The following is a 25,860-nucleotide window of genomic DNA, read 5'->3' as shown; positions in this document are numbered from 1 at the left end:
CTCTCAACTCCACTCTTTCTCTACAGGTTCCCTGTCTTACAGGATGGAACCAGTCTGCCCAAGGGATCCCAGGTCCAAGAGACTTTCGAGGTTGGGGTCTCTTAGTCCCAATTCCATATTCTAAGGGAGGGCCTGTGATGGATTTATCTAGTTTCACCCACACTAAGCAACTGTATATAAAGACTCTTCTGCTATTATCAGCTCAACGGAGGGGAAAGGAGAAGGAAGGCAAAATGTGTACACCCCAGCATCTCCCATTCTTACTTGATCGTGAGACATTTCTTAAAGGAACATCTATTAACACTGAACACAGCACACTAGGGAAATGCTGTCGTGGGTGATGGGGAGCAATGAGATGGTTGAAGCAGAGGCCTGAGCGCCAGGAATTGGATTTGCATTTTAGATAGCAGTGAGCAGAACTGATTGGAGGGAGTGAGACTGGAGACAGGAAAGCTGATTAAGAGCCAGCTACAGAAATCCAGACCTGGGAAGCAAGGCTAGCATTAGTGAGGAGGCAGAGGAAGACTGTCTCCAGAATTACTTGGGAAGTAAAAATCTGCGAGGCTTGGTAAGTTATTTATATTTGGAGTCGGGGTAAGAGGAAGAGACAAGGATGGTTCTCAGAGGTGTAATTTGGGGAATGAATAGGTGGTGACACTGCCAATTACAGAGACAGTACAAGAGTGGGGGGTAGGGGATGGGTGTGACTTCAGTTTTTAACATGCTTGGTGACAAGAAAATTCAAGTGAAAATATCTAGAAGCCTGAAATATGAGCCTAAGGTAGGGGCTTGGGATGGATTTCAATGTCAGACATTTTTCAGTAATAGTTAAAAACCGAAGAGCCCATGTGTATTCAACAGGCACTTGCGGGCACAGTGTGAAACAAAACACAAGGTCCTTGCCCTCGTGGAGCTCACAGTCGCCTAGGGAAGACATATATTAAGCAAACTATACGGGAGGCCCTGAATATTTACGAAGTGCAGCATGTCAGGAGAGCCAGGAGCTGTGCAAACAAACCATCAAGAACAAATCGGACACGGTGCCTGTTACAGCTGTGTGACCTGGAGCCGGTTAGGTTAGAATCCTGGAATCACCACTGCTTTGCATGGGGGTCCAGGACAGCAAGGCAGATTTGGAGTTTCCAACTAGCCTGTAAACGGGGAAGGAGAGAGCGCTTAGTACGCGAGAAAAAGAAACAGCCAACGAGTGAGAATCACTGGCCCAGCTGGAGAACGACCTGAGTTTCCTTTGTGTGCACCGGGACCAAGCACTGGGGGCCGACAATTTGCTGAGAGCTGGCTCCACCTGCCTGGGGTGCAACCACGAGAAGAGTGACAGCCCTCTCGCAGGGTACAATCTTCCACCCCCAGATGCATCTCCCTCGTCTGGTTGTGGGGAGGTACAGAGTGAAAGTTAAAGGCCTGAATTAACGTCCGGCTCTTGTGGGCGCCAGCACTCTGGAAGCGAAATGCCAGGAGTACCCCACGGTGGGCGGCGCGGGCGCAGACACCCGCACACCCAGTTGGGGGAAAACAGTGAGCAACCGGGTAGGAAGCCGAGGGTAAGAAGATTCAGAAGGCGAGGCCCCACGCGGGAAGACAGTCGAACACAGCGTTTGGCAACAGTACGCCTGCGCTCTCCGAGCCCGCCGCGGCGGAGCCCAGGAGGGAAGCGCGAGCCCGCAAGGTGAGGGCGGGGGAGGGCACGCCGGAGAGGCGGCCAAACACGTGAGAGCGCGGAGAACGTGCGCACGCGCAGGGCGCCCCCGGCCCGCGCGGCGGCAGCGCGGGAGCAGGGACGCAAGGCATTAAAAGGAGCCGCGCCTTGGTGAGCGCTCCCCCTCCCCTTTCTCCCGGGGTGCACTGCGCGCGCCCGGTGGGCGGGGGGGAGGGGAGGGCAGGCGGCGGTGGCAGCCATGTTGTTGTGAGTCTCTGTGTCTCACCCTCGGTACTTCGGTGGTTCGGAGGAGGAGGGGGAGGAGAAGGAGGAGGTGGGGTGGGGGGGGAGGGTGGTAGGTGGAGAAAGAAGACATTGCCGCCACCGAAGGCGGAGGAGGGGGAGGACCGCCAAGAGCGACGCCGCCGTGTGCCCAACGGTCGGTGTCCCCGGCTGAGGCAGCGCGGCCGCAGCAGCCCTGTAAGTCAGTCCGCGTTCGCTCTTTCTCCGGTCCTTTGGCGCCGTCGAGGATGGCTCCCCAGGCTTTGTGCGGCGGCCTCGGCGGGAGCCGATCGCCAGCGGGAGGGCGGATAGGGCCTGCTGAGTGCCCGGGCCGGTGCGGCCTGGGGCCCGCTCGCACAATGCAGGGGGAGGGGTGCCGGAAGGGGGTGTGCGCGTGCGGGGGAGGGGGCGCCGCGCCGGCCGCTTTCCCGCTTCCTTCCCTCTGCGGGGCCGCCGCCTCGGGGGCGTGGGGCGCCGACCCGGTTCTCCCTCCGATTCGGCGCGCTGGAGGTTAGAGACCGAGCTGTCGGCCCTAGGGTTCGGAAAGAGGGGAGAGGCCGGGTGGCCCCAGAGAAGCATGCGGATTGCAAGTGGGTGAAGAGGAAGGAGTGGGTTTATGAAAACAAGTGTGGGCATTTTCAAAGGCCCGAGTGTGTCCGGGAAAAGCTTGCCGTGGACAGATGTGGGTATGAAGCAGTGACTTGGATTCGCCTTGTTTAGGTTATAGGAACGGATTTCGATATTCAGAAAAATATGTAAATTAAAACCAAAGACAAGATTAGCGGCTTCTACTATTTGAGCAGTAGTTTTGTATCTGAATTGGGTCAGGTTTTGGGGAAAATGTTTAAAGTTTCATGCCCAAACACGTGTAAAAGTTAGTGTTGTTTCTGAAAACACAGCCAGAGAAAACCTACTTAACTTAGCTTTTTATTCTAACATACGTAAACTTTTGAAGAGAGGAATGTATTGCCAGCATATTAGGTGCAATAAGACATCATGTTAGGACTTAGTACTTTGAGATTTTTACTTGTTGAGAAAACGGGGCAGATGTTTTGGTGAAGGAAAACATGAGAAAAATGCTTGTAAACGGTGAAGAGAAATGTAATACCTGTAAAGGTACTGTATGTCAAGAAAACAATTTTAATAAAGGGAGTTACCGAAGGATTTTAAAAGCTTGTTTAATGGTTAGATTTCGTGTTTAACAGGTGACTCTTCACCATGTGACCTGGAGTATTGGAAGATGACTTAAGGAATCCTGTAAATAAAAAAAAAAAAACAAAAATGAGTATTTTCAACTTGTTTCTCTTCCTAGCCTCCTTTTAAACAATGATTTACTTCATTTGCTCAATCATTATGAATAAAAATGATGGCATTTTCCGTGCTGCAAGAATTTCTTTAAAATTCCGATTTTTGGTGAAATTGCATTGTGTAGAATTTTCTTGGTGTGCATGAGGGCAGTTTTTGTATGCAGAAAAGGTTTACGATAATCTTAAAAATAAAATTTTATTTCAGAAACCTGGTTCTTGAGGATTTAAGTCCAGTTTTTAAATTTTGTTTACAGGTCTAGCTATTTTGAGTTATAATTGCCAGTAACTTACGCATTTTCCAGCAATTTAAGCTGTGTTTAACACATGCTTTCCTTAATTTGAGTCCAAAGTTCTCTTAGGTGTTTCAGCATTTAGCAAGATTTCAACTTTTTAAAAGAGCCTAAATTAATTACTGACATTTACTTTGCTCTTACAAAGCTGTCACTTTAGAATAAATTCTCAGGCATTACAAATACTGTATATAAATTACCAAATAATACTTGGATTTTGTTTCTCTCAAGCATTCCATACTTGTTTATGAATCTTTTTTTCTTGTTTGAGACAGGGTCTGGTTCTGTCGCCCAGACTGCAGTGCAGGTGGTGAGATCTGGGCTCACTGCAGCCTCCGCGTCCCGGGCTGCAACTGTTCTTCCACCTGAGCCTTCCGAGTAACTGTAGCTGGGGGTACAGGCGCACGCCACCACGCCCGGCTAATTTTTGCATTTTTTGTAGAGACAGGGTCTCACTGTGTTTCCTGGGCTGAACTCCGATCTCAAGCGATCCTCCCGCCTCGCCCTCCCAGAGTGCCGGGATTACAGGCGTGAGCCACCACACCCGGCTTGTTTATAAACCTTTCTGGTGTGGAAAGATAATTTGCCTTCCGGAGTAGGTACTTATCTTAGTTAACAAAAGTAATTATGACCAGAGATTTGGGCCAGGTGTGAAATCCACAGCCAATTTTCTCAGTGACCAAGCTGTCTCCTTTTTATAGACCCTAACATGATCTGCATAGTTTTAAGTGGAGGTTGATTCCTGTCTCCTAAACTCAAGTTCTACATACGTCCTAACTTAAATACCTTGTTGGGTTTCCAGGATATGGAAATACTTGTATTTTTTCATATTCTTAAAATTTACAGATATTTAAAATATCCGAATATTTGAGTCTCACATGGCTTTGTCTACATGGCTGCAATCACAGCTTGAGACCATTTTACTAACAGGTGTGATTAAGATAAAAATTACACTTATAGCCAGGTAAATTGGTCTGTGGCATATTAAGATTTCTTGCTTTTTTTCTTTATTATTATTATTATTATTATTAATTTTTAATATAGGTGAGGTCTTGCTGTGTTGCCCAGGCTGGTCTCAAACTCCTGGGCTCAAGCAGTTCTCCCGCCTTGGCCTCCCAAAATGTTGGTATTAAAAGCATGAGCCCCGGTGCCAGACCCTTGCTGTTTTTAGGAAATGCATTAAAATAGTCTGACTTGTTCGTTTTGTCCTGCCTCCTCACTTCGCTTTGATGAGTTTGTAAGAGGGAACGCTGATGAAATATGGCAGAGCCCCTTCCTCGCTTTCTCTCTGGGAGTCTTCTCCCTGCAGAAAGCACTTAATTTGCCCTGCTTTTTCATGTGACTACCAAAGTTAGACTCCCCATTTCCAGAGGACAGTAGTTGTCCAGTGCTACTTGTGACTGGGTTAGAATAATTATGGAGTGTGTTTGGAAGCCCACTTGGCCTAGGTCTAAATTATGCCTCCACTGTGGTTTTATCAGTAGTAAAGGAAATCTTTGGATTAACACAAGTCCAACTACTGTGTCTTTCAGTCAGTTCGGAATTCTGTTGTGGAAAAAGGTTTCCTCAAACCCTATCATTTAGGAGCTAATATTTTAATAGTGATTTTTATATTTGGCAATATATATAGACAGGAGACAGTTTTTATTTAAAACTTAATTGCTTTTGTAGTTGAAAAAGTGGAAGTTTTCTATTTTCAAGCTTTTCCAGTGAGTGAAACGCTGTATAGAATTATTAGGTAGGTGCGTGATAAATGCTTTTTCTTTGAGTTTCATGTAGCATTATGTTTAGAGACATGTTAGTGTTTTTTTTCCTTAGTGACTTTTTCTTCAAATAACTCGAGAGTTATCTTTTTAAATGAAAAATCAAGACACGCCTAATTAAACACAAATATTAAAAGTTTTATTTGACCTTTGGCTGGTTCCTTTTTATGGTCTTAAGTGCTTTAGAGAATTTTTAAACAGATTGTTTATTTAAGCTGTTGGCAAAAGCATAGTTTCATTAGTAAGTTCCATTCTGCAAGTTTAGCTACTGGATCCCAACCATTTTCAGGTTGCGTATTGCATATTGTTGATTTTCACATCTTACTCTCTCACTGTTCTCTTGTGGAGGAATAAAAGATTTTAGAATAGAGTACTGGGAAATATCAAAATGTACACACCTTGTATGCATATCACTGTAGCTGGCAAGTGCAAAAAAAGAAGTAGCATGAAGTGTAAAAGGAGAAGGGAGGTAATTGAAGTGTTAGATGGTTTGATTGACTGCAAATGGGACAGGAAAAAAAAGGTAGTCATCACCTATTTGGAGCTAAATATGTTGGGACCACAGAAGCCCCCTAAAATGTTTCCTGGAAGGGACTTGGTACAATTGGCTATGAAATTGTACTCAAAACCACTTAGTCAGTACTGCCCAGGGAAATGGAACCTGTAGCTGGCTGCCAACACACATACAATGTGGTCATGGCGGGGCGGTAGGGAAGGATTATTTACATTTTTTTAGTTCTGGGGAAAAATACACTAATGGAGGAAACCTGGTTTGAGGACAGCTCTTTGATCTATCTTATTGTAGTAGCCATCTTATGACAAGAGTAAGAAGTTCTGGATCTCAAAGTGGTGATCCCTGACTTTAGGCAGTTTCTGAAAAACTTAAGATCAGTGAGAGAAAGATGCAATTGGTCTTATTCATTCAGACATGAAATAAGGCAAATGAGTGTTAGAGGGAGAGTGCCCCTAAGTATAGGTCTTTATTAGGCAGTCAAATGAAGCAAACTGTAGGAAGAAAAAAATGTGGATTGTATTGTATGATTTTTATAAATACCAAAAATGTATACAGATTGGAACTACTTGTATCTTCCATTTTCTTGACCATGTCATTTTTAAGTTAGTTTATTAAGAACATCTCCATAGTAGCTTATCGGTAGTTTTAGCATGATTACATGCAAAAACATTCAGTTATCTATGATAAAACTTGAATCTTTAAAACCAATTCAACATGAACAGAATTATGTTTTGAAGTTGAGAGGATAGTGGCTCCAGGTTTTGCCTATAGGTGTTTTCTTGGACCACCTTTCAATGGAAGTGTAATTTATTACTTTTTTTCCAAAGGAGAGTCTTAGGTGCCCTCGTCTTAATATCTAAATTATGTGCATCCTACACTAGCAAGAATAGGAGTGCTCTACGCTCTTGCTAAAGGTAAATTGTTTGCCAGTTCTTTCAGAATCGTGGTTGAGAAAATATTCATGGAGTATGGACATTCAGTCCATTTGTAGTCTGAATATTAAAATTGTGTCTTTTCATCACGCTAAAATACCTGCACAAGTTTTTTGGAGACAGAGTTTCGCTCTTGTTGCCCAGGCTGGAGTACAATGGCGTGATCTCGGCTCACTGCAACCTCCGCCTCCCAGGTTCAACCGATTCTCCTGCCTCAGCCTCCCAAGAAGCTGGGATTACAGGCGCCCACCACCATGCCCGGCTAATTTTTGTATTTTTGGAAGAGATGGGGTTTCACTGTTGGCCAGGCTGGTCTTGAACTCCTGACCTCAAGTGATCCACCTGCTTCATCCTCCCAAAATGCTGGGATTACAGGCGTGAGCCACTGTGCCTCGCCCCACACATTTTTTTTTTGAGCGTTGCAGATGTATCGTGCCACACTGTCCTTAGATGCTGGTGATACGGTGATATGTGGTCCTTGTTTTTAAGACCTTTATAGGAAAGTGGAGAGAAGATTAAACTTGTGATTACAGTGCAGCATGCTAGCCTGCCACTGAGGTGGTATTATAAAAGTGCTGTGGTGTGGGCACGTGGCCCATGCCTGTAATCTCAACACTTTGGGAGACTGAGGCGGGACGATCACTTGAGTCCAGGAATTCAAGACCAGCCTGGCCAGCATAGGGAGACCTTGTCTCTAAAAAAATTAAAAAATTAGTCTGGCATGGTGGCACGCACTTACAGTCCAAGCTATTTGGGAGGCTGAGGTGGGAATGAGGTGGGAAGGTCACTTGAATCCAGGAGACTGAGGCTGCAGTGAGTTGTGATCGTGCCGCTGCACTCCAGACTGGGCGACAGAGGGAGGCCCTGTCTCCCCGGCCCCGCCGCAAAAAAAAAAAAAAGAAAAAAGTGCTGTGGACACATGTAGGTAGAGACTGCAGGGACAGGAAAAGCTTTCCACAAGAGGTAAAGCGGAATCTTCTTTTCTTTTTTTTTTTTTTTTTTTTTTGAGACAGAGTCTCCCTCCGTTGCTCTGGCTGGAGTGCAGTGGCACTATCACAACTCACTGCAAGCTCCGCCTCCCGGGTTCACGCCCTTCTCCTGCCTCAGCCTCCTGAGTAGCTGGGACTACAGGCGCCCGCCACGAAGCCCTGCTATTTTTTTTGTATTTTTAGTAGAGACGGGGTTTCACCATGTTAGCCAGGATGGTCTCCATCTCCTGACCTCGTGATCCGCCGGCCTCAGCCTCCCAAAGTGCTGGGATTACAGGTGTGAGCCACTGTGCCCAGCTGCGGAATCTTAAAATGTTATAGAAGTTAATTTAGTCCCGAGATGGGTGAGGTGGCATTCAGCCAGAGGGATTAATAGCCGTAGTAATCCTGATAGGGTAGAATGACAAGAGTTTAAGGTGCAGTTATAGGGAGGAGGGTGACAAAAGAGAGATAGGAGAGATAGGTAGAAGCCCACCAGATTGAAGTCCTTTATCTAATATGGACAGTCCAGGATTATAATTTAGGAAGATATAGACAATCATGGTGTCCTTGAAAGCCTTAGAGAATTACTGTGTAGTTAGTTTTCCTGGATTATATTAGGAGTTAGGTATTTGACTTTTCCTTGAGGAACTGACTGTAAGAAAGACTATGAGGCTGGGCGCCTAACGCTTTGGGAGGCCGTGGCAGGTGGACTGCTTGAGCTCAGGCATTTGAGACCAGCCTGGGCAACGTGGTGAAACCCCATCTCAATAAGAAATGCAAAAATTAGCTGGGCATGGTGGCTCGCGTCTGTAGTCCCAGCTACCTGGGAGGCTGAGGCGCGAGGATCTCTTGATCCCAAGAGGTAGAGATTGCAGTGAGCCAAGATCGAGCCACTGCACTGCAGCATGGGCAACAGAGTGAGGCCCTGTCTCAAAAAATAAAATAAAGTAAAATAAAATAAAGTAAAATGATACTATGAAACCTTGTATCTGTTAATGGTAATGTTGAAGATATTTTCTATTACAACTCTGTTGCCTCAATAATGCTCCATCTAAGAAATTGCTTTTTTTTTCTCTGATACTGGGATGAGGGCGGGTGTCTCATCGTGTTGCTGGGGCTGGAGTGCAGTGGTGCAGTCACTGCTCACTGCAGCCTCAACTGCCCAGTCTCAAGCAGTTCTCTGACTTCAGCCTCCTGAGGAGCTGGCATTACAGGCGCACAACATCATACCCAACTAGTTATTTTGTTATTATTTGTAGAGACAAGGTCTCACTATGTTGCCTTGGCTAGTCTCGAATTTGTTGCCCCATGTGGTCTCGAATTCCTGGACTAAAGCAATCCTCCTGTCTTGGCCTCCTAAAGTGCTGGGATTATAGGTCCAAGCCACCATGCCCAACAGAAATTTCTTTTAAAGCTTAGTGTTAGGAATAAGGTTGCATCCAAGGGTTTGGTATGATTTCTTTCTCTGGCTAATGAGAATTGTACATACCTACTGTTTGTACAATTACTAGCACAACTGGTTAGCTTTAAACTTACTAGTTTATTTGCTATTTTATTTAATAAATTACTTAGTTATTTTTATTTAGAAACTTTTTTTTAATTTGAGGCAGGGTCTCTGTCATCCAGGCTGGAGTGCAGTGGTGTCACCCAGGCTGGAGTGGAGTGGTGTGAACATGACTCACTGCAGCCTTCACCTCCCTCGCTCTAGTGATCCTTCCACCTCAGCCTCTTGAGTAGCTGGGACCACAGGCATGTACCAGTACACCCAGCTAATTTTTTTGTTTGTTTTATTGTATATTTCCTTTAAGATAGTCTGCCGTCTTCCAAACATTTGCTTAAGTGAATAAAGTAAGTTTATTTAAATTATACTCAATTTTTTTTTAAACACAGACTCTTTTAAAAATATATAATTTAGCTGGGCATAGTGTGGCACTACTGTAACCCTAGAGGTTGAGGCAGGAGGATTGCTTGAGCCCAGGTTTGGAGGCTGTGAAGGCACCACCGCACTCTAGCCTGGGTGACAGAGTAAGACCCTGTCTATAAATATATATATGATTTAATACTTAATCCTTGAAACTAACACAGATTTGGTTTCTCTCCATACATTTCTACCTAGATGTTTGGTGGTGTTTTTGATGTAATAACTTGCCTTTTTAAAACTTAAGTATCTTTAGGAAATTGGCTTGGTCATTTCATCTCACTTTAAAGTTAACCAATTCAAAGCTTGTTCTTGATTACTTGAGGAACTTTAAAAACCGCAATTCATGCTAATCACCTAAATGATTCCTTTTACTTCAAAGATTTATACAATTCATATATATTTCTTAGACTATTCATAAGTCATAATAAGCTAAATATATTTTAAAGCTTTTAACCGTAAGTTAGGGTTTTCCTAGACAAAAATTAAATCTCTATTCTACCCAGTCTTATGAGAAAATTGAATATATTTCATACCTCACATTCATTTTTCTTTAAGTTGTCTTGGAAATGACTAGAAACACTACATAAAATGTATTTGTGTTAACATTTACAGAAAAGTTATGGTAATACTGGGTTAAGGTTAAACAGTTTTAATTGTAGAATTTCTTGGAGCCAGTAACAGAAGGAAGGAAAGATTGAACATGTACTCAGAGCTTGCAAAGGAGCAAGTGGGTGCTACTGAGCAGCATACCTGAAATGTATTGGACAAGGGATCACTTATTTCTGAGAACACTGAGTTGGTGAATAAGGAGCACACTTAGGAAAATTCCAAATATACTGCATTAAAGTCTGCTTCTTAAAATTGTTATTTTTCTCCAGTTGTCTCAGACCATGCATTCAGATTTCTTCCTTTAGTTCTCTGTTACAATTTAGTTAACATTTCTTTTTCTTTCTTTTTTTTTTTTTTTTGAGACAGAGTCTCACTCTGTTGCCCAGGCTGGAGTGTAGTGGCGCAATCTCCGCTCCATGCAACCACCACCTCCTGGGTTTAAGCGATTCTCCTGCCTCAGCCTCCCTAGTAGCTGGGATCACAGGCGCCTGCCACCACACCTGGCTAATTTTTATATTTTAGTAGAGACGGCCTTTCACCATGTTGGCCACCCTGGTCTCGAACTCATGACCGCAAGTGATCCACCTGTCTCAGCCTCCCAAAGTGCTGGGATTACAGGCGTGAGCAACCATGCTAGGCCTCTAGTTAACATTTCTTAAGTTGTTTTTCCTTGGTGAGGTATTAATTCTAATTGATAGCATGTAACAATTGAAAATTACTAAGATAGCCATGTGAGACAAGTCTTCATTTGTTGGACTTTCAGCCTAGTACTAATAGGAACAAAAAGTAACACAATAACTTTTGTACTTTGATAGTTTCCAAACTGTAATGCAGTTAAGCTATATTTATATAGGACATTAAGAAATTTATTTTGCTAACCTCAGTAAGTCTTACAATATGAAGAAATACAAAGATAAAGCCAACAGTACCTTCTTTACCAAAGTTGAGTGAGATGTTTATTTTTTCGTACTTCCCACAAACATATGTAGTCATACATTGCCCCCCTCCTTTTTTGAACAAAAATTGGATCATATGATACACATTAGGCAACTTTGTATTTTTACTTAATATCATGGACATTTTACATGTAACTTTAATTACTTGTAATTTTTGTACTGGCTCATTGTTTTAACTTTTTTCTGTTGTTGAGTTTGGCTTATTTTTTTAATTTTGTACCACCATATAAGTGGTGCTGCAGTAAATATCTTTATATAGTTAATTCATTTGTGTTGGTGCTGTTTGTTTAAGGTAAATTTCCAAAAGAGAAACTTCTGGGTCAAAATATTTTCTTTTTTTGCGGGGCAGGGAGAGGGGGGCTGTGCAGAGCGCAGGTAAGAGCTGTGGCCCCTGCTATGTTGCCTACGCTGGTCTTGAACTCCTGGACTCAAGTAATCCTCCTGCCTTGGCCAACCAAAGTGTTGGGATTATAGGCATGAGCCACTGTGCCCAGTCCAAAGAATTTTATATTGATTTTTAAACAAATAAACAAAAAGTTCAGTTTGATGTGTCATTAATACTCTAGAAAGCACTTGCATTTCAATTTCATTTATTACCTCACTTAATCTTTGCAACAGCCCTATGAGGGAGGCATTGTTGTTTCCATTTGCAAATGGACAAATGAGATCGAGTTCATTTAGCTAGTTAGTGGCCAACCTGGAACTGTATTCTTGGTCTTTTGATTCTGATTTCTGTTACACCATGATGACTGATACTAACAAAATTTTTTAGTTGGGAAACTTCTAGGGTGTTTGTGGATATATTCCTTAGCCATATGGTGATGTATGAGTGTTTCAACCCTATCTGCAGAGGGAAAGCATCACCTGGAGAGCCTAAAAAATACTAATAAAAATCCGCCTGTCTTGCTGCCCAGACTAATTCAAGCCAGCCTTGGGTAGGTGAAACCTGAGCAACTGTAGTTTATAAAATCCTCCTACCTGGACTCTGATGTGTGTTGTAAGTGTTTGAGAACTAGTGATCTCAAAATTGGGGTGCTCCCATCCCTGAGGGGTACCTGAAGAGTTTCCAGACTACATCTGTTAGTGCATTTAAGTCTTCTGGGAATCAGTTATCAGGTCCTCACCATATATGTACTGAGAAAGGTAGAACTCTGATCCATCCCACATCTTACTGTTGTGTATTTTACCCAGGTAGTTAAACTTTGGCACCAAAGAGTTAGCTTTCTTTTGTGATTAGTCCTATCTTACATTGCTGTTGGAGTGAAACGTAGCATTCTATAGAACTGGCATATTTTCACCTCCATTGGTATTTTCTGTATTCATATCAACAGTAGTCTTGGATGACAGGAGTAATGACAGATTTTTTTTTAAACCAGTTCACTTGTTCCTTCCCTAACCTGTTAAAGAATACATTACAAAGCAAAGGACAATACTAAAATACTTTGAAAGCTAGAAATATATAAATCATGTTTATCACAGCATACTGTCAAATATATTGGCTTTAAATTAAATGTATGATTTAGTTGGCCGTTTTTTTTTTTACATTGAGGAATTTATCAAGAGTAGGATAGAACTAATCTAGATGAAATGACATTTATAAATACTTATCCTGTGTTTTTCTTTTATTTATTATTTTTTGAGATGGAGTTTCACTCATCGCCCAGGCTGGAGTACAGTGGCACGATCTCGGCTCACATGATCTCGGCTCACTGTAACCTCCGCCTTTCAGGTTCAAGTGATTCTCCTGCTTCAGCCTCCCAAGAGGATGGGATTACAGGCGTGTGCCCCCACAGTTGGCTAAGTTTTATATTTTTAGTAGAGACAGGGTTTCACCATGTCTGCTAGGCTGGTCTTGAACTCCTGACCTCAGGTGGTCCACCCGCCTCGGCCTCCCAAAGTGCTGGGCTTACAGGCATGAGCCACCATGCCTGGCCTGCTTTTCTTTTTTCTTTTAAATCAGATGGTGAGAGAATATTTACATCTACAAACTGGGCTTTGCTTTTTAAAAACCTGATGTATTAAAAGTAAGGCTAAAGATATTTACTGTAGTAGGCATTGAGTGTACACGTACATTCTTTTATATTGCTTCTAAAATGGTTGGAAACTTACAAACAAGACTAAAATGAAAATATTTTTCTTTTAAGTGATGCTTCGTTTAGATGTTTTATTGTACTTTTTTTTTTTTTCTCTTGAGATGGGTTAACCCTGGTCATTTTCCCACTCCTGGTCTCAAGTGATTCTTGCCACCTCAATCTCCCAAGTAGCTGAGATTACAGATATGTACCACCTTGCATGCAGAATTACATAACTGTAATTTATTTGCAAGTCATGATACATATTCTGCATGTAAGTATATTTAGGAAAAATCTAGTCTTGCTCATACATTGTAGTAAACATTTTTTTTGAAATAAGCTATAGAAATAACTTATTTTTTAGTGCTTAGATGTGGCATATTATTAACTAATTTATTAAATATTTGGATCCTTCCATATATAAAGCCATTGATTTCCAAGTTAACATGACTATAAGAACTATGTAAGTGTGTGATTTTATCATGTATATATTTTAAATATTTCTAAAGATACAACTAGTGTGTGGAAAACATTCTAGGAGTTAAGAACTATAAAATGTAATGTAAAAATCATGCATATCCTTTTTCTAGGTGCGACCACTATTAATGGTTAAGTGTGACTTATGCTTGCATCCTGTTTTTACAAAACTAGGATGATAGGAGCATAGATTGGTTTTCACTTTGCCTTTTCATGTAATAACCTGGAATATTTGTATTATATCATTTCCCTTCCCTATTACTATATCCTTAGTATTCCTTTGACTTCCCTCATAACTAGTAGCATTTCATGGAACACTGGTATAACCAGAACAGTTGATGAGATTGTGTGGGATTTTTTTCTTTCCTAGTTCTGATTTAGAGAAGTTTTAAAATTTAGTGGGCAAGATGTATTAGTAATACTGCAACATACCAATTAAATTCTGTGGGAATTAAGAGAAGGATTGTTTGGGGTCAGCTTTAGGGAAAGCTGCATTTGAGCCAAACTTTGAGGAATTTGTGGGATTTGCGCATGAAGGGATAAGTGGTAAACAATTGTCCAGGTGTTTTTTTTGTTTTGTTTTTTGAGACAAGAGTCTTGCTCTGTCGCCCAGGCTGGAGTGCAGTGGTGCAGTCTCGGCTCACTGCAACCTCCGCCTCCTGGGTTCAAGCGATTCTCTTGCCTCAGCCTCCTGAGTAGCTGAGATTACAGGCACACGCTGCCATACCCGGCTAATTTTTGTGTTTGTAGTAGAGACAGGGTTTTACCATGTTGGCCAGGCTGGTCTCGAATTCCTGAGCTCAGGTGATCCACCTGCCTCAGCCTCCTAAAGTGCTGGGATTACAGGCGTGAGCCACCACGTCTTTTAGAGAGTAGCGTAATTGGCATTAGCTTGAGTGATGGCTTATGCTTGGTTGGTATGGGAAAGAGCATGGGCTTTTTGGAATTTTGATAGTATTATGTTCTCTACCATTTTAGTAGCTTTGTATATTAGGGTAGGGAAATTGTGGCCAGTTTTCCTATTTGCAAAGTAATGATGCAGTATTGACTTTGCTGGATTATAGTGAGAATTATATATAATGTGCCTGGTATAATCTGTGGCATAAAATGGGGTGCTCAATAAAATTTCTGTTGTTATTCTCTTTGGGGGAAGGTTAGCTGATTAAAAATTAGTCTCCAAAATTTGTACCCTTTTGGAAATCAGTTTTTGGGAAAATTTTTCATACGCTAGTCAAAAGTATGTTTGAGGAAGTAATAAGCCAAATTAAGTTCATATGAAGGCTTGGACCCTAAGTGAATTAAAAACTGCAGTTTATAAATGTTTTAAAAATATTTTTGTCTGAATTGTGTAACTGACCTTCAAGGCCCAGCTTAAATACCACCTGCTTTATGTGGCTTTCTGTCAGACTGCTATATGTATTTTATTAAACTTTATTTTTTTCTAACCACCTAGCCTTTTCATTTATTAAACTTTATTATGGAAGCTTTCAAACATGTAGAGAGAATAGTAAGTATTGTGAACCCTTGATAGCTACCGTCCTTGTTCAACATTGTGTGAAATCTTATTTATACCCATATTTTACTTTTTGAAGGAGTATTTCAAAGTAAATCCCAAACAATATGCCATTTCAAGCATAAATGCTTTTACTGATGAGGACTTACAAAAAACAAACCCAATCCTCTTGCTAGTATCATAACTAATAGAATTCCTTACTGTTATCTAATACTCATTCTATATTTGAGTTTCCCTGATTTTTCTCAAAAAAGTCTTTATAGTTGGTTTGTGAGAAGCAGGCTTACACAGTTTTTTTTTTGACATTTAGGCCTATACCACAGTCTGTGTAATCTGCTTCCCCCGCTTCAAAATTTTATGTCATAAATATGTATTTAGATCAGTAGTTTTATTATAATATTAGACAAATTGAAGCTTAGTGTTTTTTGAAGGCAGTTCTTCATATGTGGTGGTACTGTTTCATATTACATTATGAATCATATAATGTCTTACTCCACTATTAGGATGATGTCACATTTTAAATCACAGAAAATAATTTAGGAATACTAGGCCAGGTGTGGTGACTTATGCCTGTAATCCCAGCACTTTGGGAGGCCGAGGTGGAAGGATTACTTGAACTCACGAGTTCCAGATCAGCCTGGGCAACATGGTGAGACCCCGTCTGTACCACACACACACACACACACACACACACACACACACACACACACACACACACACAGATCAGCCTGGGCAACATGGTGAGACCCCGTCTGTAACACACACACACACACACACACACACACACAAATTAGCCAGGCCTGGTGGCACCTGTGGTCCCAGTTACTCAGAAGGCGGAGTTGGGAGGTTCCCTTGAGCCTGGGAGGTCAAGGCTGCAGTGAACCCTGATTACGTCACTGTGCTCCATCTTGGGCAACAGAGCAAGACCCTGTCTCTTTAAAAAAAAAAAAAATTATATCTTTAACTTTAGAACCACTTTTTAGGCCAGGCACATTGGCTCATTCCTGTAATGCTAGCATTTTGGGAGGCCAAGGCAAGGTGCAGATCACTTGAGTTCAGGAGTTCAAGACCAGCCTGGGCAACATGGCAAAACCCTGTCTCTACAAAAAATACAAAAATTAGTTGGGCATAGTGGTATGCATTTGTAGTCCCAGCTCCTTAGGATACTGAGTAGATGGATCACTAGCCCAGGAGGTCAAGGCTGTAGTGAGCCATAATCAATGCCACTGCACTCCATCCTGGGCAATAGTGAGACCCTGCCTCAAAAAAAAACAAACAAAAAAACAAAAAAACGCTTTTTGTGTTATGTAAACAGTTTTCTAAAGCTTGTCATCTTCATTTCCATCTAAATTATTTGACCTGCTTCTCTCAGACAATACCTAAAGCATCAAAACCCAGCATAGATTGAGGCTGTTTAGTGTGTAGATCTTATCTAAGTAGTATATTTTTCAAAATAAGGCAACTTTTCTTCAGCAGTATTTTGATTCTCCAAATAAGTCAGTTGAGAGGATGCCTTATAAGAGGAGAAACTTTTGTAAGGACCCAAATATATGGTGATTCCCCTTTCAGAGAATTTTAATGGAACAAAAATCTTATGTTTGCACATATATAGATTTGTCTAAATGATGGGGTTGGAATAAAACATTAAAAGATTTGAGCTTTGAGCTAATAGGGTCTTTGAAGGAGATTTTTGGCTTCTGTAAGTCTGTATGTTGACAACACTAATTTTTATGCCAAATTTCATTCAAAACATAAAACTTTACTTTTCCTTATTATAATTGAGTCAGTAATACTATTCTTTGTTATAGAGCTTTTTTGCCTTGCTAGTAAAGCCAGCAGAGGTAACTCCCCCATGAAAGTATTTGGACAAACTAGAAAACAGACTGTTGATTTAGCTCTTGGTTGACCCACTAGCTAAGTGACTTGTTCGTCACTGAAAAACTGTATGATTCAATTTATGCCCTCAGAAAAATAAGAAATTACCAAGAGTTGGTTTGAATAGTAGAAACTTTGTTAAATCTTTAAAGGCTAATGGTCTCCTATAAATACCTAAACCTGGATTTAGATTTACTTTTGTCATGTGAATGAGAAAAAGCATTGCTAAACAAAAAAAGTTTGTTGGCAGATTTGCAATAAAGTGATTTAATTTGCTGAGCAGAAGAAAGTATTCTTTAGGAATTCAGCACTTGTTTGTTTGCCGTAGATACCACGGATGTTCAATGATTATGTTCATTAAAATCAGTCCAGCTGGGTGCAGTGGCTCACACCTTTAATCCTAGCACTTTGAGGGGCTGAGGCAGGAGGGCTGCTTGAGCCCAGGAGTTTGAGACCAGCCTAGGCAACATAGGGAGACCCCTGTCTCTACAAAAAATACAAAAATTTGCTGGGGGTGGTGGCATGCACCTTTAGTCCCAGATACTCCCGGAGACTGAGGTGAGAGGATGCAGAGAGCTATGATTGCCCCACTGTACTCTAGCTTCGGTGATAGAGTGAGACCTTGTCTCAAAAAAAAACAAAACAGTCCAAGGAGGATGATTACGGAGAATATGTCCTAAGAAGCTTAAGTCACTCTGTGTATTGACTTATTTGTGACTCAACTAGGTTTTTATGTAATTTTGTTGTCTTTGTAATTGATGCAAAAGGAAGGTACAGTCTCCAGGCTGTAGATGACAGACTTGGAGAAGTAGTGCCTGTGTGAAGTTGCAATCATTAGTCATTTTGTGTTGGTAAATGTCTTCAGCAGTACAAAAAGTCTAAGCGAAAGCCTTGTTCATTGTCCTTATGTTAAAATAAGCATTGTATGTTAATATATGAAGATATGTAAATACTTAGTCACTATCCAGATACTAATTGATTTTATGATCGGAATTCACATTTCATAAAATATGGTTTTTTTCATTCATTAAATGTTGAACGTTTACATAGCTAAGACAGTCACTAATCCCTTTGACCCCAGAGGTTAATTTCTACTATGGTGTTAATTTATAATTACAAGATTATAAAAGTGTGATTAGTACCATGTGGCAGTAGAGTGCTTTAATACCATTTATTGTATCTCCAAATGCTTTCCCCACCCTGTTTTTAATGTAGGCATATGGTAAGAAATTGAACCAGATATCCAGGAAGAAATAATATTTTTAATTTAAAAAATTTTTTTGAGACAGAGTCTTGCTTTGTCACCCAATCTGGAGTGCAGTGGAGCGGACCATGGCTCACTGCAGTCTTGACCTCCCAGACTCAAGCAGTCTTCCCACCTCAGCCTCCTGAGTAGCTGGGACTACAGGTGCATGTCACCATGCCTGGCTAATTTTTTAAAAAAAAATTTTTTTTGTAGAAACAGGATGTATTTAAAAATGTCTGAGACTGGGTAATTTAGAAAGAAAAGAGGTTGAATTGTCTCATGGTTCTACAGGCTGTACAGAAAGCATAGTGGCTTCTACTTCTGGGGAGGCCTCGGGAAACTTAGAATCATGACAGAAGGTGAAGTGAAAGCAGGCACCTCTTACGTGGCTGTAGCAGGAGGAAGAGAGGGGAAGGTGTTACATACTTTTAAACAACTAGATCTTAGAAAAACTATCACAAGAGTAGCACTGAGGGGATGGCAATAATCCATTCATGAGAACTCCGCCCCCATGATCCAGTCACCCTCCACTAGGCCCCACCCCTAACACTGGGGTTTACGTTTTGACATGAGATTTGGGTGGGGACACAGATCCAAACCATATCTCAGGGTCTCGCTATGTTGCAAGGGCTGGTCTTGAACTCCTGGGCTCAAGTGATCTTTCTATATTGGCCTCCCAAAGTGCTGAGATTACAGGCGTGAACCATCATGCCTAGCCAAAACAAATACTTTTAATAATGTAAATGTCCTATATTAATGCATTTTCTTGCTTCTTTACACAAGATATTTGTCAATTTTTTGGCTTTTGTTTTTGTTGTTGTTGTTGTTGCTTTTCTTTTTTTGAGACAGGGTCTTACTGTGGCCATGGCTCACTGCACCCTCAACCTCCTGGGCTCAAGCGATCCTCTCATCTCAGCCTCTCGGGTAGCTGAGACCACAGGTGTGCACCATAATGCCCAGCTAATTTTTTAATTTTTTGTAGAGCTAGGTCTCCCTATGTTGCCAAGGATGGTCTTGAATTCCTGGCCTCAAGCGATCCTCCCACCATAGCCTCAATAATGTGTTAGGATTACAGGCATGAGCCACTGTGCTCAGTTGTTGACATTTTGGATTATGCACTAGTAAATAGGAAAACTATCACTGAGCTAAATCAAGTTGTTATTTGAATGCTTCACCTGTTTTTCCTCACATCATTAGTAATAATCTGCCTACTGAAAAATTAGCTAATATTGTTAAAATTTAGAATGAGCAAAATAAGATACTGTCATTTCTTTTCTTTTGCTAGGAAACAGTCATAACCTCAAAAATGACTTTTTAATTCAAATATAAGATTATACTGGGTCTTGGCCAAAGAAAAGTTTCTGTCGTATATTTCTGTGTTGGTAAGTTCTCATTATTTATTAAAGAAAATAATATTGGAGATTTGAGCCTTAATAATGCAGACAAAAAAAATTGAAGATAGAATTTATACCCCAAGCAGTACATGGTGCCATACTCCTGAATACATTTTTTTCAAATAAACAGTGAAATAGTATATAACCAGTTGCTAGTAGGTCCTATTGCTTGTTAGAAAAGATCTTTCCTCCCTAAGATTTAATCATTCGGATAAAGTCACTAAATTTATGTCCAAATTCCAACTTTTTTATTACCATCAGATGACACCAGCATTTGTAGCTGTTTAAGAGACAGCAGATTGACATACTTTAGAAATTTTGGAGTCCCACTTAGTAGCATATGGGCAACTGTCTCCCCATCTCTTCAACTTTATTATAGTTTATATGGATATGGTATTGCCTGAGAGTTGGAAAAGTTATTTGTCTCCCATTGTCTTGCCCAATTTCTCCTTCATTCTCTTTCTCGTAATTGAAATAAACAGTAACACCCTAAACTGAAAAGCTGAGCTTAAGTTGTGCTGATGGGGGTGGGTTTTTTTTTTTTTTAAGTCTTTTTACTCTACTACCCTGATTATTGAAAGATAATAAAATTACCTCCATTTAGATATGATCTGAAACCCCCATTCGTTTAAACACACACACACACACACACACACACACACACACACACACTCTAGTAGTATAAGTGAAAAAGTTGAAAGCAAAGCCCTAATGCTTAACTTTCAGTATACTCATATTTGGAAGTGGATTTTGTGTATTTGAGTTTTGGGGAGCAGTCAAGAGAGAAAGTGAATGAGAGCAGAGGTCTGCAAACTATGGCCTGCAGGCCAAATCTGACCCATCACCTGTTTTTGCATGGCCTGCTCTATGGGAATGGCTTTTACATTTTTTGATTGTTGGAAAAAATTTTAAAAGAATAATTTGTGATACATGAAAACCACGTGAAACTCAAATTTTACAGTTTATCAAGTTTTATTGGGACATATCTGTGCTCATTCATTTTGGTATTGTCTATAGGTGCTTTCGTGCTACAGAGGCGTAGTTGAGTAGCTGCAGCAGAGATCATATGGCCTGCAAAGCCTAAAATGTTGACTCCTACACTAGGGGTATGATTTATCCCAACAGTAAGAATGGATTCAAAGAGCTAAGAGACCTCTCAAAATTATCCAGAGGTTCTTTAACTTATGTGACCTCATCTATTTGGACCACTGATAAAAACCTGAAAGTAAGCAAAAAAGGTAAAGCTCTAGTGCTTACTTTGACTCTTGAGAAAAATTCATGTCTACTACTGATAGTTTTTTTTTCCTTTTCTTTTCTTTCTTTCTTTTTTTTTTTTTTCTGCTTTCGATACTGGTTTTAACAGTTTATTGGGTTTGCCCTTTCCCCACATTGACTACCTTCTTGGTAACCATGGCTCATAGATTAGAAGTACTTAATCTTGTCTCTGCATAATTTTTCTCTTGGGAGGACAGCTTTAAGGCTACTGGCCGAAGCTCAGTCACTGAAATCTGAGGTTGGTCTTGTATTAAGGTCTGACCTAGCACTTTATTTTAGCTATTAGGATAACAGTAACCAAGGGATTGAATATTTCTCCTTAAAATTAGTTTGCATTTTCTTAGACATTTACTTTGTGAGAGTTAGGTCCATCTTTAAATTCCATTGGTAACGTTTAGTAACTGAGCACATACAGTGAGTGACCACATGGCCACCAAGGAATCAAAAGTTTCTCATCCCCTACCCTTTCGTTCCTTCTATTCCCATTTCTCATCCCCTACCCTTTCATTCTTTCTATTCCCAAACAACGCGTGTGGTTTTTTTTTTTTCCTCTCCCCAAGTTGTCTGAACCAAACCACGTTTCTGTGTGCCAGGGCTGTGTTAGCAAATCCCACTTCTGACACCAAATGTAAGGCTATAGGATATAAATACAGTTTATCCTACTGTACCCTTACAACACAGAACACTTCTATGATCCCACATGTATTGCTTGATATGCTGTATCAAGCAATCAGTCCTGCAGCAAATTCTCCAGTGGACACCAGCTGGGCGTCGTCTAACTCATTTCTGACCCTATCTCCCTGGAGAGAGCATCAGCTCTCACACACAGATTGAGGGCTTGGGCCAATAAGACTTCCTCCCTACTTCAGATGCCAGTTGCAAGTCGTAGGTTGTCACATAGACTTCTCACTGACCAGCTGTAAATCAGGTGTTCCTCTGACCTTCTTTGGTCAATTAATTTGCTAGAACAGTTCACAGAACTCAGGGAAGCACATTACTTAAATTTACCCATTTATTATAAAGGATATTACAAAGAATACCGTTGAGAATAGCCAGATGGAAGAGATGCATTAGGATGATGTATGGGAGAATGGGGCAGGCCACTCTCCAGGAACCTCCAAGAGTTCAGCTATCTGTAAGCTCCCAGAACTCAGATCTTTTGGAATTTTGCAGAAGTCTCACCTCATTACATAGGCATTAAAATCTTCGTGATCAACTAAGTTTTCAGTCCATCTCTGGAAGCAGGAGGGGGAACTGAAAGTTCAAACTCTCTAATCAAAAGGATGGTTCCCCTGGCAACCAGCCCCCAGTCAGTCAGCTCATTAGCATGCAGAAGACACTCATCACTCCAGTGATTCCAGGGGTTTTAGGAGCTTTTTGCCAGGACATGGACAAAGGCCAAAAATACGTTTTACAGTATTACATTTTCAGCCTTTATTCTAAGGTGATATTTTCCGCAGGTGTAAAAGTCTGGATTGGCACTCCTTTCAGCACTTTAAAATCTTGTCCTGTATGTTCTGGGCCCCATTATTTCTGGTCCAAGTTAGCAGTCATTCATACATCATTGTTCCTCTTTATGTAATATGTTGTTTTTTTTTCTGGCAATCTTCAGGACTTTTTCTCTTTGATTTTCAGGGTTTTTATAATGACTGTAAGTGTGGAATTTTTTTTTTCTTATTTATCTTTCCTCTGGTGTCCATGGGGCTTCTTGAATCTGTAGATTTGACTCTCACTAAATTTGGGGGAATTTCTGGCCATTGTTTCTTCAATATTTTTACCATCCTGTTCATTCCTGGAACTCCAGTTACATGTAAGTTACACTTTTTGGTATTGTTCCTGTGAAAATTATACACATTAGGTCATTCTTGTAACACCCAACTAAATCAGAATCTAGGGTCCAGGGGAAAAAGGCACTTGAGCACTTAACATCTGATCCAAAAATTAAATTTTCAGCAAGCCCAGCTGTAGAAATGGCCCGCTGTAACCCTAAGACCCGTTTTACCTAGTAGCAGTGGAAACAACTCGCCACTGCTCTGAGACCAGCTTCTTCTAGTCAGAGCTTGCCATTTCTCAAAAGCTGCTCTAGTACCAATCTGTCAGAACAGTCTGTAACGTTTCTCTAATAACTTCCAGCCTTCTCTTTGTTCTTCAGACATACCCAAGACCGTCCAGTCTGTATATATATGCTCCAAATTACATTATTTTCCTTTCTTTTTCTTTGTCTTTTCTTTTTTTTTTTTTTTTGAGATGAGGGGGCTCTCGTTCTATTACCCAGGCTGGAGTGCAGTGGTACGCTCATGGCTCATTGTAGCCTTCACTTCCTGGGCTCAAGTGATCCTCCCACCTCAGCCTCCCGAGTAGCTGTGGCTATAGGCATGCCCTACCGAAACAGGCTAATTTTTGTATTCTTTTTGTAGAGACATTGTTTTTACCATGTTGGTCATCCTATGACCAAATAGGACCATATGGAGAACATTAGATCTTATCTTTTTTTTTTTTTTTTTTGGAGACAGGGTCTTGCTCTGTCGCCCAGGCTGGAGTGCAATGGCACAATCATGGTTTACTGCTGTAGCCTTGACCTTCCAGGCTCAAGTGATATTCCCACCTCAGCCTCCTGAGTTGCTGGGACCACAGGCATGCACCAATGTGCCAAGCTAATTTTTAAATTTCTTGTAAAAATCGAGTGTCGCCATGTTGCCCAGGCTGGTCTCAATTCCTGGGCTCAAGTAATCCACCTGCCTCGGCTTCCCAAAGTGCTGGGATTATAGGCATGAGCCACCGCACCCAAATTAGATTCTTGCTTCCTAAATACAACATTTTCAATTTAGAGAGTCATCTTTGTTTTATTTGGCTTTGACATTTTATAGGTCACTGAAGCTCTGTTCATTTTTTTTCCACTATTTTCCTATTCTTCAAATTAGAAATCTTGTTGATATATTTTCAAGTTCACTGACCCTTTCTTTTGTTGTTTTATAATCTGCTAAGTGCATCCAGTGTAATTTTTAAATATTTTTTTCAGTTTTAGCATTGGTTATTTTTGTAGTTTTTCTTTCTCTGCTGAAATTTTGCATTTGTTCATTCCTTAGGAGCATATTTTTCTTTAAATCTTTGAACACAGCTATGGTAGTTGCTTTAGGATTGCTGTCTGCTAATTCTAACCTGGGTCGTCTTGGAGTGGTTATTAATTGACTTTTTCCTTTAGGTCACATTTTCCTTTTTTCTCACCTGTCTAGTAATTACAGATTATATTCCAGACTTCATGATTGATGTATTGAAGATGCTCTAGATTCTGTTGTTTCTTTGGCGAATGTGGAGGTTGTGTGTTTGTGTTTTTTTTGTTTGTTTGTTTTGAGACAGAGTCTCTCTGCGATGCCCAGGCTGGAGTGCAATGGCACGATTTTGGCTCATTGTAACCTCTGTCTCCCAGATTCAAGCAATTCTTCTGCCACCCGAATAGCTGGGACTACAAACGCGTGCCACCGCACCCAGCTAATTTTTTTGTATTTTTGGTAGAGACGGGGTTTCACCATGTTGGCCAGGCTGGTCTCAAACTCTTGACCTCAAGTGATCACCCACCTCGGTCTCCCAAAGTGCTGAGATTATAGTCGTGAGCCACCACACCTAGCCAAATGTTGGGTTTTGTTGGGACTCAGCCTCCAAATTTCTGTGACTTTTGTGGTGGTCAGCAGCAGAAATTTCTGCTCAATTCTTTTAGCCTTAATTGAGCTCCTTGGAGTCTGTCTCACATATGTGCAGTTCAGGCGTCATCTGAAAATCCCAGTGTAATTTATACACGGGACATGGCGTGTCCTCTCTGGGATTCCCTTTCTTACTTTCCAGCAGCTCTGGTTGCTCTAGACTGTGTCCTTTGGTTTCTTCAGGCCATTAAGGCTGGATTCTTAAAGGAATTTAAGGACCCTACTTCCACATCTAGGCCTTCCCTCGGGCAGAAATGCCATTTAAAAAAAACAAACAACCAAACAAAAAACCTTACTCTGTGCTACTCCTTTCTTTAAAGTATAGACTGTTCTCCAGTTTCTGGGCTTTAATTGTTTTTCATTGCCTTCACATAGTTGTTGGCACACAGAATAATTCAAGAACCCTTGACCTAATGTTTTTCTACAGGTTTTAAGGTAGATTGCTGTCATAAACTGGGAAAACCTGTCTTCCCTACAGAAATCAGTGCTTCCCTTTCTCAGATCATGCTAATATTAGTCATAGCAGCAATATAATATAAAAATAGTTGAAGAAGTCTGTTTAAACATTTCTTTGTACTAATTTTTGTTTTTGTTATTCAACAGGTTTGATCTGTGGATGAAATGAATCATGATTTTCAAGCTCTTGCATTAGAATCTCGGGGAATGGGAGAGGTAAATGTTTGCAAATACTAAGAACTTACACCTCACTTTATTTTGAGCCATTGTAACTTATTTTTTTTTTTTAACCATCTCCCTTCCTGGAAATAGTGGTCATATCTTCCAAACTATATGGAGGGGTTTAAATTTCAGATTGTACAATTCTGTTGTGATTTTTAGCTTTAAAAAAAAAGCTTTTAGCAGTAATTTTTAGTGTGATTATTTGTGTCTAGGTGATTTGATTGACTTGGTGAGATAATTTCTTATATTTTGGTAATGAACTATAATTAGCTTTGCTTGAAAAAAACTCTTTAGCCTTGTTCTGCTGTTTTATATATGTATGCTGTGTTTGCTTTAGCCATACTTGTTTTACTATTCTCCCTTCCAAAAATCTCTTGTTCACCCAAAACTGTTTACTTAACAAACTTCTAATCTTCTACAAGACTCGACT

The 25,860-nt window shown here is 40.8% G+C and overlaps 1 protein-coding gene across 53 annotated transcripts in view, besides 7 other annotated features; it reads left to right on the top strand.

Annotated features, from left to right (window-relative positions):
* Positions 481-25,860, top strand: part of PUM2 (pumilio RNA binding family member 2) — a 103,563-nt gene continuing 78,183 nt past the window's right edge. For 9 of the 53 annotated variants that reach the window (XM_005262609.2, XM_005262607.2, XM_047443812.1 and 6 more), the window contains exons 1-2: positions 1,890-2,137; positions 25,356-25,424. In XM_005262609.2, the coding sequence (XP_005262666.1) occupies positions 25,374-25,424 (51 nt within the window). In that variant the 5' untranslated portion in view covers positions 1,890-2,137; positions 25,356-25,373. Of the gene's footprint in view, positions 569-1,749; positions 1,829-1,889; positions 2,138-19,670; positions 19,768-20,796; positions 21,018-25,347; positions 25,425-25,860 lie in introns of those variants that run through there. The other 44 variants (XM_047443824.1, XM_047443820.1, XM_047443808.1 and 41 more) reach the window with 9 other exon arrangements.
* Positions 531-1,160: an enhancer, noted in NCBI's record as "H3K27ac hESC enhancer chr2:20551335-20551964 (GRCh37/hg19 assembly coordinates)". NCBI's record gives its function as "activates a minimal SCP1, AML or CMV promoter by ChIP-STARR-seq in primed H9 embryonic stem cells {active_cell/tissue: H9 hESC(primed)}" and the evidence as "EXISTENCE:reporter gene assay evidence [ECO:0000049][PMID:30033119]".
* Positions 1,161-1,792: an enhancer, noted in NCBI's record as "H3K27ac hESC enhancer chr2:20550703-20551334 (GRCh37/hg19 assembly coordinates)". NCBI's record gives its function as "activates a minimal SCP1, AML or CMV promoter by ChIP-STARR-seq in primed H9 embryonic stem cells {active_cell/tissue: H9 hESC(primed)}" and the evidence as "EXISTENCE:reporter gene assay evidence [ECO:0000049][PMID:30033119]".
* Positions 1,161-2,507: a biological region, named in NCBI's record as "H3K27ac hESC enhancers GRCh37_chr2:20550073-20550702 and GRCh37_chr2:20550703-20551334".
* Positions 1,368-1,457: an enhancer, noted in NCBI's record as "active region_15387". NCBI's record gives its function as "activates an Ori minimal core promoter by ATAC-STARR-seq in GM12878 lymphoblastoid cells {active_cell/tissue: GM12878}" and the evidence as "EXISTENCE:reporter gene assay evidence [ECO:0000049][PMID:35858748]".
* Positions 1,618-2,507: a silencer, noted in NCBI's record as "silent region_11205". NCBI's record gives its function as "represses an Ori minimal core promoter by ATAC-STARR-seq in GM12878 lymphoblastoid cells {active_cell/tissue: GM12878}" and the evidence as "EXISTENCE:reporter gene assay evidence [ECO:0000049][PMID:35858748]".
* Positions 1,793-2,422: an enhancer, noted in NCBI's record as "H3K27ac hESC enhancer chr2:20550073-20550702 (GRCh37/hg19 assembly coordinates)". NCBI's record gives its function as "activates a minimal SCP1, AML or CMV promoter by ChIP-STARR-seq in naive H9 embryonic stem cells {active_cell/tissue: H9 hESC(naive)}" and the evidence as "EXISTENCE:reporter gene assay evidence [ECO:0000049][PMID:30033119]".
* Positions 18,530-18,589: an enhancer, noted in NCBI's record as "active region_15386". NCBI's record gives its function as "activates an Ori minimal core promoter by ATAC-STARR-seq in GM12878 lymphoblastoid cells {active_cell/tissue: GM12878}" and the evidence as "EXISTENCE:reporter gene assay evidence [ECO:0000049][PMID:35858748]".

Source organism: Homo sapiens, chromosome 2 (genome assembly GCF_000001405.40).
Source record: "Homo sapiens chromosome 2, GRCh38.p14 Primary Assembly".
In the NCBI taxonomy this organism is placed as follows: Eukaryota; Metazoa; Chordata; class Mammalia; order Primates; family Hominidae; genus Homo; species Homo sapiens.
The sequence above is the reverse complement of the archived record's forward strand: the minus strand, read 5'-3'. Positions and strand labels throughout refer to the sequence as shown.